At 52.7% G+C, this 16,478-nt stretch overlaps 1 protein-coding gene across 3 annotated transcripts in view, besides 3 other annotated features; it reads left to right on the top strand.

The window, feature by feature from the left end:
* The window catches only part of ALG12 (ALG12 alpha-1,6-mannosyltransferase), a 59,128-nt gene that overhangs the window by 8,124 nt on the left and 34,526 nt on the right, over positions 1-16,478 (top strand). For 2 of the 3 annotated variants that reach the window (XM_017028936.2, XM_017028937.2), the window contains exons 5-9: positions 227-421; positions 968-1,071; positions 2,371-2,594; positions 5,809-5,978; positions 6,061-6,136. In XM_017028936.2, coding sequence (XP_016884425.1) covers positions 227-421; positions 968-1,071; positions 2,371-2,594; positions 5,809-5,978; positions 6,061-6,136 — 769 coding nt within the window. Of the gene's footprint in view, positions 1-226; positions 422-967; positions 1,072-2,370; positions 2,595-5,808; positions 5,979-6,060; positions 6,137-6,248; positions 10,087-16,478 lie in introns of those variants that run through there. The other variant, NM_024105.4, reaches the window with a different exon arrangement.
* Positions 7,699-8,418: an enhancer, noted in NCBI's record as "H3K4me1 hESC enhancer chr22:50295545-50296264 (GRCh37/hg19 assembly coordinates)". NCBI's record gives its function as "activates a minimal SCP1, AML or CMV promoter by ChIP-STARR-seq in naive H9 embryonic stem cells {active_cell/tissue: H9 hESC(naive)}" and the evidence as "EXISTENCE:reporter gene assay evidence [ECO:0000049][PMID:30033119]".
* Positions 8,419-9,138: an enhancer, noted in NCBI's record as "H3K4me1 hESC enhancer chr22:50294825-50295544 (GRCh37/hg19 assembly coordinates)". NCBI's record gives its function as "activates a minimal SCP1, AML or CMV promoter by ChIP-STARR-seq in naive H9 embryonic stem cells {active_cell/tissue: H9 hESC(naive)}" and the evidence as "EXISTENCE:reporter gene assay evidence [ECO:0000049][PMID:30033119]".
* Positions 9,139-9,859: an enhancer, noted in NCBI's record as "H3K4me1 hESC enhancer chr22:50294104-50294824 (GRCh37/hg19 assembly coordinates)". NCBI's record gives its function as "activates a minimal SCP1, AML or CMV promoter by ChIP-STARR-seq in primed H9 embryonic stem cells {active_cell/tissue: H9 hESC(primed)}" and the evidence as "EXISTENCE:reporter gene assay evidence [ECO:0000049][PMID:30033119]".

Below are 16,478 nucleotides of genomic sequence, written 5' to 3'. Positions count from 1 at the left end.
AGGATGGTCTGTGACCTGAAACCAGGCTCTTTGTTTTCCATGCTGGGTTGGGACACACTTCCTGGCCAACAGCATAGGTGCGGGGAGCGGCTCTGAGCAGTTTCTTTTCTGGGATATTTGTGTGGCTTTTATAATAGGAAAAGGAATCACCCTTCACTTCCCCGGGTGTTTTCTGGGCCGGGTGGGCCCTGTGTCTTGACGAGCACCCTCCCGCACTGTCTTGCAGTCCTGCTGGCCCTCGCGGCCTGGCTGCGGCACGAGTGGGCCCGCTTCATCTGGCTGTCAGCCTTCGCCATCATCGTGTTCAGGGTGGAGCTGTGCCTGTTCCTGGGCCTCCTGCTGCTGCTGGCCTTGGGCAACCGAAAGGTTTCTGTAGTCAGAGCCCTTCGCCACGCCGTCCCGGCAGGGATCCTCTGTTTAGGTAAGTCAGTCACTGTGGGATGCTTCTAACTGGATTTTGTTTTGCCTTGTTTTACAAAGGTCAAGAGAAATTTGGGAGGTTTTCATCCCCATGAAATAAAATGACCCTAAATTTAGCAGTGTTGAAAACATTTCAATCCTAAGCCCCCTGCCCGGGGATCTCCAGGGGGACCCACCGTGCGCCTTAGGAGCCCCTGTTCACTGGTCTGTCCCTTGTCCTTGGGCTGGGGGAGGCCACAAGAGTGGAGGGCGGCTTGTCCCTGCGCCAGGCGGTGGTTCTGGGCAGTGGTGTCCTCGACACAGTTGGTGTCTTTTTTCTTTTTTTGTTTTAGAGATAGTCTTGCTCTGTCACCCAGGATGGAGTGCAGTGGCATGATCATGGCCCACTGCAACCTTGAACTCCTAGGCTCCAGCAATCTTCCCACCCTGCCCAACCTCTTTTATATGAAAGCAGCTTGTAGTTTCTGTAGTGATGGGGGCTGCATTGTGGCGGGATGTTTACTGATGGCTGTGTTTGCGACTAAGAAACTCTATTTTATTTTGTCAGGACTGACGGTTGCTGTGGACTCTTATTTTTGGCGGCAGCTCACTTGGCCGGAAGGAAAGGTGCTTTGGTACAACACTGTCCTGAACAAAAGCTCCAACTGGGGGGTATCCTTCAGTGTCCGTGCAGGAGGGCGATGGGTGGGACCTGCAGCCACATCTCCTGGGCCTCCATGGGCAGTGGAAGCAGCTGCTTCTCCCTTCTCTGCAGCGTGGCTGCAGGGTCAGGATGGAGCCCCTCCCTCCCACTTGCTCCTGGGAAATGCTGGCCATGGGAGGTGAGGTCCTGGCTGCCCTCTCTCAGCCAGGAAACAGCCTGAGGGCTGGAAACAGCCCTGCCCCAGATTACCCCAGCCTCTCCTCTGCTCCTCGGACAATCTGCTTTTTTTTTTTTTTTTTTGAGACTGAGTCTCGCTCTGTCGCCCAGGCTGGAGTACAGTGGTATGATCTTGGCTCACTGCAACCTCCACCTCCCTGGTTCAAGCAATTCTCCTGCCTCAGCCTCATGAGTAGCTGGGACTATAGGCGCACGCCACCACACCTGGCTAATTTTTGTATTTTTAGTAGAGGTGGGGTTTTACCATGTTGGTCAGGCTGATCTTGAACTCTTGAACTCAGGTGATCCACCTGCCTTGGCCTCCCAAAGTGCTGGGATTACAGGTGTGAGCCACCACGCCCGGCCCGGACAATCTGCATTTAAAAAGTGCTTTCTTAGGAATTATGTCAAACATACACGCATAGATGGAACAGCATAACGAATCCCAACATGTGTGTCACCCGTGACCGTCTGTTTTTTGTTTTTTGGTTTTTTTTTTTTTTTTTTTTGAGACAGAGTCTCACTCTGTCGCCAGGTTGGAGTACAGTGGCATGATCTCGGCTCACTGCAACCTCCAACTCCCTGGTTCAAGTGATTCTCCTGCCTCAGCCTCCTGAGTAGCTGGGATTACAGGCACATGCCACCATGCCCAGCTAATTTTTGTATTTGTAGTAGAGACAGGGTTTCACCATGTTGGCCAGGATGGTCTCGATCTCTTTACCTCGTGATCTACCCACCTTGGCCTCCCGAAGTGCTGGGATTACAGACATGAGCCACTGCGCCCGGCCGACCATCTGTTTTTAACAGTGAAGAAAAGGGTACAGAGACCGAACGTCCTGTGGCCCTTGCTGCCTTGGTCCTGCCTGGAGGGGGCCCGACGCCCAAGTGGTATGTGTGCACCCGAGCTGTGGCCTGGGCTCTGTCTTTTAGGAGGGGCCTGAGGCCTGAGTGGTGTCTGTGCACACGAGCCGTGGTCCAGGCTGCATCTCTCAGCACAACTGTCTTCAAGCGTCTTCTCCACCTTGACCCTGCCACCTAGCCCACGGGCTCATGCGTGGACAGGTGCGTGGCCTCCTTAACCCAGCCCGCAGACCTCCCCGCTGCTGTGGTACTTCTACTCAGCCCTGCCCCGCGGCCTGGGCTGCAGCCTGCTCTTCATCCCCCTGGGCTTGGTAGACAGAAGGACGCACGCGCCGACGGTGCTGGCACTGGGCTTCATGGCACTCTACTCCCTCCTGCCACACAAGGAGCTACGCTTCATCATCTATGCCTTCCCCATGCTCAACATCACGGCTGCCAGAGGCTGCTCCTACCTGTGAGTGCTCTTTTTGTGACATGCATTTTTATAGTTTCATTGGAAACAGGTTCACTGATTTACTGTTGGGGGGATGTATGTGTGTGTTTAATTTTTGAAACAGGGTCTTGCTCTGTCGCCCAGCTGGAGTGGGGCTTACTGCACCCCTCAACTCCTAGGGGGTTAAGCCATCCTCCTGCCTCCTCCTCTGGAAGTGCTGGGATTGCAGGTGTGAGCCACCAGGGCTGTTTTTTAAGATAAACACAGGGTGTGTTGAACTAGGCGCTTATGTCAAAGGAGGGTGACCCCAGTCCTCTCTCCTCCCTGAGGGCTGCATGGGATGGGACCGGCCTGGCATTGTGCTGACAGAGGGCTTTGCTCAGGTGGTCTCTGTCTTGGGTTAATTTGGTGACTGGTCCACATATGGTGATGCACCAGCGGTCCCAGTCTCTGTCATGGGAGAGTGACACTCACATAGGTAGCAGCGGCAGAGGGCAGGGGCAGCCAGGCCTGGGAGGCTCTGAGGGCGACAGGTCAGGTAGAGGAAGGGCGTTCGTGGCCATCCTGACAGGGCCTCGGGCTTGAGGGCGTTTGTCAAGGCGGGTCATCTGGCTGGAAGAGGGGGATGGTGAGGGAGGTGCCTATGGCTGGGTGCAGAGGGCCCAGCGTGGCCCAGGCTCAAGGTCCTGTGGAGGGCAGGGGGCTTCCTGCGGGGAGGGACTGCAGGCAGCAGGTGATGGAGGTGGAGCTGGGGGCCTGGCAGGGCCTGGGGAGGGCACTGCCTGGGCTGAGGGTGGGGTGGTCTGAGCGCGGCTGCCACTCAGTGTTGCAAGCCTCAGGGAGCCAGGAGAGTCCATCACTGCCGGGCCCTGTGGGTGCTGGGGAAGGACCCGGGGCTCAGGCCCAGGAGAGTCCATCACTGCTGGCCCTGTGGGTGCTGCGGAAGAACCCAGGGCTGAGGCTGGCCAGCTCTGTGCCCGTTCAGAGTTTGCTGCCTTGATGGGAACAGGAGGCCAACTCAGGCCACGCTGGGCATTGAGGGGCGGCAGGGCTACAGGCCAGGAGGGCCGCGGCCTGGGGCATTGAGAGGTGCCCACTCTGGCTGGAGAGGAAGCCCCACAATGCGGTCCCTGATCTCAGGCAGCGGTCAGGTGCTTTCCGGTGCCACTTGTTACAGGGGAGGGGATGGTGCCCCCCAGCTCCGACTGCCCCGCACTGCCCTCGGGCCTGGGAGCTCCTCTGGCTGCCGTGACTGTTCCTCGCTGGGGGTTCCTCCGGCTGCCGTGGCCGTGCCTGGGTTGGGGGCTCCTCTGGCTGCTGTAGCCGCGCCTCAGTGGGGGCTCCTGGGAGCTCTGCCTCTGCTTTTCTGTGCCTTTGGCTCCCTCTCGTCTCAGGGGTCGGCTCAGGGCTGGAGGAGGAGCAGACCCCAGCCAGAGTCATGGAAAAGAGGGTAGGAAAGACGGGGAGAGCGGCGCGGATGGATTGTATTCGGTGACAGGCTTTTCCAGCAGGGAAGAAGATCCAGTGGGAACTGGACCCAGCTCTGTGTCTTTGAGGCCTGGTGTGCTGGGCGTGAGGGGCTGCTCCATGCAAGGGCCCCTGCTGTGCCAGTCGGCCTTATCCGGAGGAGGACAAACTTGGGGAGTCCAAATGAGGGGGTGCAGGGTAGAGCAAGGCCCCCTCCGAAGTCAGGTCCTCAGCCCGGCCACCCTGGGAGCAAGAGCAGGCCGTTTCCCACGGTGTCAGGGCCCAGGGCCTTGAGACAGTCCTGGGGGTGGAAGGTTTCTGATTGCGAGCTTTCCACAGTGACTGCCCACTCCAGGTTTGGGCGGGAACAAAGGACGAACGCCCTGGCAGTGCTGAGCTCTTTGGGGCAGGCACTTAGGAGGCTGCGGTCATCCTAGGTGGGGCCTCGAGCTCAGAAACCGCACCAGAGATTGTTCAAGGGTGCACTAGTCTGCTCTCGCACTGATGTAAAGAAACACCTGAGACTGGATAATTTATAAAGAGGAGGCTTCATTGGCTCGCGGTTCCGCAGGCTGTACGGGAAGCGTGGTACTGGTGTCTGCTCAGCTTCCAGGCTGGCCTGGGAAAACTTTCCATTATGGCGGAAGGCGAGAGGGAAGCGGGCACGCTTTTATGTGGCCAAAGCAGGACGAAGAGGGACGGGGGAGGTGTCACCCATTTTCAAACAAGCAGACCTCTCGAGAACTCACTCGGTATGAGGAGAACAGCATGGAGGGGATGGCGCTAATCCATTCCTGAGGGCTCCACCTCCATGACCCAGTCACCTCCCACCAGGCCCCACCTCCAGCATTGGGGATCACAGTTGGACATGAGATTTGGTGGGGACGCAGATCCAAACCATAGCAAAGGGCAGGGCCTGTGGAGAAGAGGGCTCCGAGGAGCCTGGTGGGTTTGGAAGAGAGTGAGTCTTGATCGGGGGTTCAGGGCGTTTAGACCAGGGTTGGCAAGCTTTTCCGTTAAGGACCAGCTAATAAAGAGCCTCATCTTCGTGGGCCACACTGTCTGTGGCAGCTGCTAACTCTGCCGTAGGATCCTGAGATTGGCATAGTCGATTGTGAGAGAACCGGCGGCACCCTGTCCCAGAGAGTTCACTCAGACCTGCTGGGAGTGGGCTTGGCCGCGCGGGTGGCACTCTGACCTACACAGTCACTTGGGATTGTTTGAAAATATATTTTTAGGCTGGGCGCAGTGGCTCATGCCTGTAATCTCAGCACTTTGGGAGGCTGAGGCGGGCAGATCACGAGGTCAGGAGTTCAAGACTAGCCTGGCCAACATAGTGAAAGCCTGTCTCTACTAAAAATACAGAAATTAGATGGGCATGGTGGCGTGCACCTGTAGTCCCAGCTACTTGGGAGGCTGAGGCAGGAGAATCACTTGAACCCAGGAGGCGGAGGTTGCAGTGAGCCGAGATCATGGCACTGCACTCCAGCCTGGGTGACACAGCGAGACTCTGTCTCAAAAATATATATATATTTTAAAATCTCATCTAAATTTTAAATTGGCATCTTGGGTAGAATTTCACAGACAATTCTTGAGGCAGTATCTTAACCACTTTTACGGGTTACTGACTCTGTTTTATTTGGTGGTGAACTCTTTGTTATGACTTGGTGAAGTTGAACAGCAGGTTATGCTCCTAGTATGTTTTGTAGGTAGATTAATTTTATTGTCATTACGTTCTGCCTATGATGTGTAACCATTCTTTTTTCAGGCTGAATAACTATAAAAAGTCTTGGCTGTACAAAGCGGGGTCTCTGCTTGTGATCGGACACCTCGTGGTGAATGCCGCCTACTCAGCCACGGCCCTGTATGTGTCCCATTTCAACTACCCAGGTGGCGTCGCAATGCAGAGGCTGCACCAGCTGGTGCCCCCCCAGACAGGTGGGTGCTGGGGGCACTGCCTGGGGACTGCTGTGGCTCCGACTGCAGGGCTGGGCTCTGACGGCAGGCCTGGTTTTCCTAGACGTCCTTCTGCACATTGACGTGGCAGCCGCCCAGACAGGTGTGTCTCGGTTTCTCCAAGTCAACAGCGCCTGGAGGTAGGATCCACACACAGCACGGCCCTCCCAGAGGCCATGTGAGGGCCCCTTGGGGGCGGGGGACAGGGCGATGTGGGGGCCCTGGGCAGGACCACCAGCTCTCATCCCACAGGTACGACAAGAGGGAGGATGTGCAGCCGGGGACAGGCATGCTGGCATACACACACATCCTCATGGAGGCGGCCCCTGGGCTCCTGGCCCTCTACAGGGACACACACCGGGTCCTGGCCAGCGTCGTGGGGACCACAGGTGTGAGTCTGAACCTGACCCAACTGCCCCCCTTCAACGTCCACCTGCAGACAAAGCTGGTGCTTCTGGAGAGGCTCCCCCGGCCGTCCTGAGGGGGACCAGGCAGCCCTCAGCAGCCACAGGCCTTCCAGGAGCTGTTATCACTACCAGTTTCTGGCACAATTCCAGCACAATTATGACAATTCAGAGAAGCAAGTCAAAGGACTGGGCACCTGCCTCTGACAGACACCAGACCAGGTCCAGGGCCTCCTCCACAGCCTCAGCTGGGGCTCTCAGCACCAAAGAACGAGGGGCCCAGGTCTTGTTGGCACCCCGGGAGCCACTGCCCAGGGTGATGGTGGCCAGCTCAGGGCTTCCTGCGGGTGACTGTCGCCCAGACCAGGTGCCATTCATGACTAATCAGGAGCAGCGGGCTCACCCAGGCACCTGTCTGCCAGGAGGCCACGTGTGTCCTGCCCACCCAGGGGGAGCTGTATTTTGGCAGCACCCCACGCTTGCTGCCCGAGGGCCTCTTGGGGCACCTAAGACAGCACCCCCTCTCAGGGGAGACCATGGTGGCCCCGGCCGCACCCCCCCACCCTGGTGCCACCACTGCAACTTTTGTATTCACAGGCATCCCATCTCCATCACAGATAAAATCTTAGGAGATAAACACATTCAAAAAGGAATGAGATAAAAAGAATAAGGCAATAAATGTTGATTGGAACCTCTCAAGATTACAGAAAATAATGAGAATGAAATTTTAAAAATGTTTCCTATGTGATAGCTTATCACAGGTGACTATTCCAGGTGTTATGGTAAAGGGACAGCTTGGTGCTGTCAGCCTCACTGACCATGCATTTATAAAGCACCAAAGTGCGTGTGATGCTGCTGGGCACTGGAGATGGGACCAGGTGCTGCTGCACACGTATGCACACACCATGCATACATGCACACACACCACACACGCATGCACACAGTGCACACGTGCACACACCATGCATACACACCACACACCGTGCACACGTGCACACACCATGCATACACACCACACACAGTGCACACGTGCACATTACCATGCATCCACACACAGTGCACACGTGCACACACTATGCATACACAGTGCACACGTGCACACACCATGCATACACACCACACACCGTGCACACGTGCACACACCATGCATACACACCACACACAGTGCACACGTGCACATTACCATGCATCCACACACAGTGCACACGTGCACACACTATGCATACACAGTGCACACGTGCACACACCATGCATACACACCACACAGTGCACACGTGCACATTACCATGCATACACAGTGCACACGTGCACACACCATGCATACACACCACACACAGTGCACACGTGCACATTACCATGCATACACACAGTGCACGCGTGCACATTACCATGCATACACAGTGCACATGTGCACACACCATGCATACACACCACACAGTGCACACGTGCACACACCATGCATACACAGTGCACACGTGCACACACCATGCATACACAGTGCACATGTGCACACACCATGCATACACACCACACACCGTGCACACGTGCACACACCATGCATACACACCACACACAGTGCACACGTGCACATTACCATGCATCCACACACAGTGCACACGTGCACACTATGCATACAGTGCACACATGCACACACCATGCATACACAGTGCACACGTGCACACACCATGCATACACACCACACAGTGCACATGTGCACACACCATGCATACACACCACACACAGTGCACACGTGCACACACCATGCATACACACCACACACAGTGCACACGTGCACATTACCATGCATACACAGTGCACACGTGCACACACCATGCATGCACACCACACACAGTGCACACGTGTACGTTACCATGCATACACACAGTGCACGCGTGCACATTACCATGCATACACAGTGCACACGTGCACACACCATGCATACACACCACACACAGTGCACACGTGCACATTACCGTGCATACACACAGTGCATGCGTGCACATTACCATGCATACACACAGTGCACACGTGCACACACCATGAATACACACCACACACAGTGCACACGTGCACACACCATGCATACACACAGTGCACACGTGCACACACCATGCATACATACCACACACAGTGCACACGTGCACATTACCATGCATACACCACGCATGCACAATGCACGTGCACACCATGCATACACACCACACATGCATCCACACACAATGCACAGATGCGCACACCATGCATACACACCATACATGCATGATCACACGTGCACACACCATACATACCCACCACGCATGCACACACACAATGCACAGGTGCACACACCATGCATACACACCACACAATGCAATCGTGCACACACAATGCACACGTGCACACACCATGCATACACACCACACAATGCAATCATGCACACAATGCACACGTGCACACACCATGCATACATACCACACATGCACACACGTGTGCATAAAGACATGATTTCTTCCTGTGCTCTTTGAGAGCTTGTGGCTGTTGCCCAGGTGCCCTGGGGCTGCCTCTCCACCTGATGCCTCCTGGTTTTCCCATTGCGTCTGGCGAACATCTGTGCAGACACTTCCTGACTCCCACAGAGGCCAGATGGTGAGGGCTGGAGAGCAGGCTTCCTGGCCCCAGCATCCCACAGACATGGGCTCCCTCCCCCATCCATCCACCTGTGTGTCTCAGGTATTCACTGGTTATCCACGCTCGTTTGTTCTCTTTTATCGCTGGCCACATGTGGATTGCCTCCCGACTTCAGTGGTCTGTGAGTCACTCCTGTCTTTAATTATCCTGGTGTTCAAAGTGTACGAGATTTGCTGGCGGGAACCCTGCCATGCTCTGCCTGTGTGCCGTGCCTCTCCTTCGAGCACCTCCTCATGACCAGGCATGGCAGGGCGTCCTCTTGGGCCTCTGGCCTCGGCCATTGCTCTGTGGGTCTTGGCTCCCTTTGGTGGGGAACAGCGTTAGAGACCGGGATCTAGACACGAGGTGTGCTCGATGCCACGGGGTGCCTGAGCTTTAGGCCCTTTCTGTGGACAGGCTAGGGAGGACAGGCATGCTGCGTGCAGTTGCACACGTACATATGTAATATGTGTGTACAGATCTGAAACAGCACAGAACCGTGCCTGGATTCCGTCCCACCTTGCACGGTTCTCCCCCACCCCCCATCTCCACCCTGAGGACCCTGGCCCCCAGCAACAGCAGCATCCTCACGCATCTGCTAGGGAGTCCAGTGCACGCCTGCTCGAGAGCTCCAGTGCAGCTTTGCCACAGGATTGCAAAAACAAACCCACCATGAAGAGGTCGGGATTGTGTGCAGTTCACTCCCTGCCCACAACTGCGGGTGCCGTCAAGCACTGTGCTCATGAGTTCCTTGGGTCGGCTTCTCCACCGTCAGTGTAGTGGTGCCTTCGTTGGAAATACAGCTGGGTTCATCCTTCCCGTTTGCTTTCAGTCTTGTGCCTCCCACCATACCCCACACCCCCATCCTGTTAGGTTTGTAGAGTGTGACCATCCTTCTAGATGTCAAAACTGCCCCTGAAGACAGATGCAGGGAGCCACTCCCTCCTGTACCTCCTCCTCGCTTTTTGGTAATGAGCATAATTGTCTCCTGGTTTATCTCCCATGTGTTTAATTTTGTAAAGATAAACATTACACATATATTCCCCTCTTTCCTAGACGGAGCATTCTTTGTAGGCTCTTTTGCACTTTGGCTTGTTTTGTTTTAGAGACAGGGTCTTGCTCTGTCACCCAAGCTGGAGTACAGTGTTGCAAACATAGCTCACTGTAGCCTCCATCTCCTGGGCTTAAGCCTTCCTCCCACCTCAGCCTCCCAAGTAGCTGGGACTACAGGTGTGTGCCACCAAGCCCAGCTAATTTTTAAAAAATTTTTCTTGAAGAGATGGGGTCTCGCTGTGTTGCCCAGGATGGTCTTGAACTCCAGGCTTCAAGCAATCCTCCTGCCTTGGCCTCCTAAAGTGCTGGGATGACAGGTGTGAGCTTCCAGCCACCGTTTTTTTCACCTAACACTCTCTCCTGGAAACCATGGTGTCGATGCAAGGATTTCTCACTGGCTGGCACTCTACCACATGATAAGCCACAGTTTCCTCAGCTGCTGTCCTCTCTGTGGTCAGTTAGGTTATTTCCAATATTTTGTAAATTCAGATAACCCTGCCATGAATAACTGAGTGCGTTTGTACTTTCATATTGTTTGAGGTGTGTCTTCAGGGTGAATTCCTAGGTGTGGTAGTGCTGGGCTGCGGGGTGATTGCACATTGGTTGCATTGGGTATTGCCACGTTCCCTCCACAGGGTGGTCCCATTTTGCAACCCCACAGAGCCGAGCCTTTTTAATTGGCCAGTCTGAGGGGTGAGTGGTGGTTCAGTGTCGTTTCAATCATTTTTTTTTTTTTTTGAGATGGAGTCTCACTTTGTCACCCAGGCTGGAGTGCAGTGGTGCGATCTCGGCTCACTGCAACCTCCGCCTCCCAGGCTCGAGTGATTCTCCTGCCTCAGCCTCCCAAGTAGCTGGGACTACAGGTGCACACCACCATGCCCGGCTAATTTTTTTTGTATTTTTAGTAGAGACAGGGTTTCACCATATTGGCCAGGCTGGTCTCGAACTCCTGACTGAGTGATCCACTCGCCTCGGCCTCCCACCCAAAATGCTGGGACTACAGGTGTGAACCACTGTGCCCGGCCTGCATCATTTTTCTTATGAGTGAAGTTGAATGTCTTTTCATATGCTAATTTTTTGGTATTTTTTGTAGAAATGGGATCTCACTGTGTTGCCTAGGCTAGTCTCAAACTCCTGGGCTCAAGTAATCCGCTTGCCTTGGCCTTCCAAAGTGCTGGAATCGCAGGTGTGAGCCACTGTGCCTGGCTGGGGTTAATTTTTTAACATGGTGTGAGGTACGGATCAATTTTTTTTTTTGTCTATGAATATCCAGTTATTCTAGCCCCATTTGTTGAAAACATTATCCTCAGTGGTGCACGCCTGTAGTTCCAGCTACTAGAGAGGCTGAGGCAGGAGGAACCCTTGAGCCCAGGAGGTTGAGGCTGCAGTGAGCTGTGATTGCACCACTGTGCTCCAGCCTGAGTGATGGAGAGAGACCCCTATCTCTTAAGAAAAGAAAGAGAAAGAAAATACTGTCTTTTCACCACTGAATTGCCTGTGCACTTTTCTCAAAAATCAATTCACTTGGCCGGGTGTGGTGGCTTACACCTGTAATCCCAGCACTTTGGGGAGGCCGAGGCAGTGGATCACCTGAGTTCAGGAGTTCAAGATCAGCCTGGCCAACATGGTGAAACCCCGTCTCTACTAAAAATACAAAAATTAGCCGGGCATGGTGGCGGGCACCTGTAATCCCAGGTACTTGGGAGTCTGAGGCAGGAGAGTCACTTGAACCTGGGAGGCAGAGGTTGCAGTGAGCTGAGATCGTGTCACTGCACTCCAGCCGGGGCGACAAGCAAAACTCCATCTCAAAAAAAAAAAGAAAAAAATCACTCAAGAGAATAAGAAGACAAACCACAAACTGGGAGAAAATATTTGATATTTGTGAAACACATATCTGATAAAGAACTGGGTCAGGTGTGGTGGCTCACGCCTGCGATCCCAGTACTTTGGGAGGCTGAGGAAGGAGGATCGCTTAAGCCTAGGAGTTCTAAAATTAGCCTGGGTGATATAGTGATACTCCGTCCCTACAAAAAACAACAACAAAAAATTTATTCAGGTGTGATGGTGTATGCCTGTAGTCCCAGCTACTTGGGAGGCTGAGGCAGGAGGGATCACTTGAGCCCAGGAGGTCAAGGCTGGGCAACAGAGTGAGACCCTGTCTCACTGGTCTCCAATATATACAAAGTATATATTGAACTGGTATCCAATATATACAAAGAACTCTTAAAACTCATAAATAAGAAAACAATGTGATTGAGGCCGGACGTGGTGGCTCACGCCTGTAATCCTAGCACTATGGGAGGCCAAGACGGGCAGATCACGAGGTCAGGAGGTTGAGACCATCCTGGCTAACATGGTGAAACCACATCTCTACTAAAAAAAATACAAAAAAATTATCCGGGCGTGGTGGTGGGCACCTGTTGTCCCAGCTCCTTGGGAGGCTGAGGCAAGAGAATGGCATGAACCCATGCAGTGAGCCAAGACTGCACCACAGCACGGCAGCCTGGGCGACAGAGCAAGACTCCATCTCAAAAAAAAAAAAAAAAAAAAAAGAAAACATGGGCAAAAGATCTGAATAGACCCCTCACCAAAGAAGATACGCAGATGGCAATTGAGCATATACAAAAATGCTCCTCATTATATGGTCATTAGGGAATTGCAAATTAAAACAAAAATGAGACACCACTACGCACTTGTTAGGATGGCCAAAATCCAAAATGGATAATGCCAAGTGCTGGTGCGGATGTGGAGCAACAGGAACTCATTCATTGCTGGCGTGAATGCAAACCAGTGTAGCTGCTTTGGAAGACAGTTTGGCAGCTTCGTACAGAACTAAGCATACTCTTACCCTGTGATCCAGCAATCAAGCTCCTCAGTATCTACTCAAGGGAGTTGAAAACTTACGTCCACACAAAAGCTCGTACAAGGATATTCATAGCAGGTGTATTCATAATTGCCAAACCTTGAAAACAACCAAGATGCCCTTCAGTAGGTGAATGGATAAACTGTGGCATGTCTGTTATTCAGTGCTAAAAATAAGTGAATGACTAGCCCATAGAAAGACATGAGGGAATCTTAAATGCATATTAGTGAATGAAGCCAGTCTGAAAAGGCTACATACTGTATGAGTCCAACTATTTGATATTTTAGAAAAGGAAAAATTATGGAGACAAAAAAGACCGGGGCTGGCAGGGAGGATAGGATGAGTAGGTGGAGCATTGAGGAATTGTTTTTTTTTTTGACTGGGAATTTTCTTCTGCTTCACTTTAAAAGTGGGCCAGGTGTGGTGGCTCACGCCTGGGATCCCAGCACTTTGGGAGGCCAAGGTAGGTGGATCAGCTGAGGTCAGGAGTTCAAGACCAGCCTGGCAAACATGGCGAAACCCGTCTCTACTAAAAAAAAATATACAAAAATTAGCCAGGCGTGGTGGCAGGCACCTGTAATCCCAGCTACTGGGGAGGCTGAAGCAGGAGGATTGCTTGAACCCGGGAGGCGGAGGTTGCAGTGAGCTGAGATCACGCCATTGTACTCCAGCCTGGGCAACAAACCAAGACTTCATCTCAAAATAAATAAAAAATAATAAAAAAAATTAAGAGGACAAAGTACCAAGGTAAATGTTGACAGGAAAAGAGAAAAGATATTAAGACTTCACTGATGCTGTGAGACTGAGGGTGCTGTGGCAGAGAGACAATGGGCTGGACCACGCCAGAGAGGAGCAGGGGACCAGGACCTGGGCCTGCATAAGGGCTCACATGGCCTTGGGACCATGGACATGGCAGAGGCTGGGGGCAGGTGGCCATGTGGCCTCTCCTCCCTCACCCACCTCAATAGGAGGATACTAGAGAGGTCCCCCAGGACCCACTCCAGCCGAACAAGGTCTGCTGGGATGCTTCTGGAAAAACCTTTATTTCCTGAAGAAAAAGAGCATCTCACGGGGAGAGATTTAGCCACAGACGTTCCTGAGCATGAGGATGACGCCTAGGTGAAAACTGAGGCCCAGGGCCCTGTTGTCAGCACCCCAGAAGTCTCATGCAAGAGACACGTGCATATTTAGAATTATTTTATTGAGCCACACCAGTGGGTTTCCTCTGGTCTGTTAACAGACTGTGCAGGAAGGTGCAGCAACAGTCACTGAAAGGCTGACATGGACATCAGGACCAGCTCACTGGGAAGAGATGGTGGGCGGAGACCCAGCAGGGACACGGGCCCTTCCCTGGGGCACAGTGCTGAGCAGAGGGGCTGCTCACAGGAGACCCAGCATTTGCCCTTCCCAGAACTCAACCAAGACTGCCAAGTGGACTGATGGCTGAGTGAATCTAATCTCATTTAACTGCAGCTGATCAAATATTAAGACTCCTTTAGAGTGACTGGTCCTACTCAATTAAAATCCACTACATTTATAAGTAGAAGGCAATTCTTTAATTGTTTAAAGAAAACCTAGTATTTTAATTAGTAACCTCAATAAACTAAATGTTAATTGTAAAGCCGTAAGTAAACATAAATGGTCTTCCCTCAAGGATACAAACTCTCCTTACAGCACCACTTTTTTTTTTTTTTTATTTTTGAGATGGAGTCTCGCTCTGTTGTCCAGGCTGGAGTGCAATGGTGCGACCTCAGCTCACTGCAACCACTGCCTCCCAGGTTCAAGTGATTCTCCTGCTTCAGCCTCCTGAGTAGCTGGGACCACAGGTGCGCACCACCACACCTGGCTAATTTTTGTATTTTTAGTAGAGCTGGGGTTTCACCACGTTGGCCAGGCTGGTCTCGAACTCCTGACCTCAGGTGATCCACCCACCTCGGCCTCCCAAAGTGCTGGGATCCCAGGTGTGAGCCACCACACCTGGCCCACTTTTAAAATGAAGCAGAATAAAATTCCCTGTCACAAATCCAACCAAAATTACAAAATCCCTACAAAGGACCCTAACGAGAAACGACTAGAATGAAGCGAGTGGATGTTAGAGCAGGAGGATGGGAAGACTTACCCCTGCAAATGCCTCTGCCTCTCAACTCAGAAGCTCCAATGAGAATTTTTATGGTGATAAAATACTGAATACAGCCACAGAGCCCTATAAAATAATGAAGTGGGTTTACTAACATAGAAAGATGGGCTGTAAAGCAATGTGTACAGCATGGTGTCACCTGGGGCTCAGAGCCTCCCCTCTCCCTCCATCAGCCTGTCTGCCCCCAGCGGCAATGCTCCTGCCCCTCCTCCTCCTCCTGGGCTTCACTCCCACATGTGACTCCCTCCAACTCTCCCCTCCCTGCTTCAAGGGTGTCTCCCTCTCTCCTCACTCAGCTGTCCCCCAGGGCAGTGCCTTTGGGGTGGGTGGACGTGAGAGGCCTCTGGCCTCCACACACTGCCCACTGCTACCCTTGCTCAAGGCTGCTCAACCAGGGAGGAGACGGCCGTCCGGCAGGATGGTCACTGGGGCCAGAGGGAGTGGTCAGTCAGGACACATTCTGGAACAACACTCACTTTATTTGCTGCTGAGGCAAGTGTTCAGATCTCTCACTGTGATTGTCTATTTCTCCTCTTAGTTCTTTCTGTTCCAGTCACATTTTGGAGTTGTGTTCTTTGGTGCTTTTATGTTTAGCATTGTTGTGTCATCCCATTAACCTCACCACTTGGTCACTGAGCTGTCCCTCCATCTCTAATGAGTCCTCCTGCCTGAGGCCGTGCTGTCAGATGTGAACAGCTGTAGCAGATGTGTGGGTGGTGCCCTGGCTTCTGGCCTCTCGCATTCACTCTGCATCCTTGGACTCGATATGTGAAGCCTGTGAATGAACATAGCTGGGTTTTGTCTATCCAATCTAACACACTTAATTGGAGTTTGCATTCCACTTACATTTAATATGCTTGCTGACACATTTGGTTTAAAGCTACCATTTGCCTCTGTTTCCTATGTGTCCCATCTGGTTATTTTTCCTTTCTTACCTTCTTTGGGATTAGTGAAAGTAGGTATTAGTCCAGTTTCATCAACATGTTTATTGCTTTTAGCGGTTACCCTAGAGATCACGTCTGATGTCAGAATCTACTTTATTATTTTTTTTGAGATGAAGTCTTGCTCTGTCGCCCAGGCTAGAATGCAGTGGTGCCATCTCGGCTCACTGCAACCTCCGCCTCCTGGGTTCAAGCAATTCTCGTGCCTCAACCTCCCGAGTAGCTGGGATTACAGGCATGCGTCACCAGGCCCAGTTAATTTTTTGTTTTTTCAGTAAAGACGGGGTTTCATCATGTTGGCCAGGCTGGTCTCAAATTCCTGACCTCAGGTGATCCGCCTGCCTTGGCCTCCCAAAGTGCTGGGATTACAGGTGTGAGCCACTGCACCTGGCCCAGAATCTACTTGAAATCCATACTTTCACCCCTTGCAGGATGGTG

This window comes from Homo sapiens, chromosome 22 (assembly GCF_000001405.40).
Source record: "Homo sapiens chromosome 22, GRCh38.p14 Primary Assembly".
NCBI lineage: Eukaryota > Metazoa > Chordata > Mammalia > Primates > Hominidae > Homo > Homo sapiens.
This window is presented reverse-complemented; position numbering and strand designations above follow the sequence as displayed.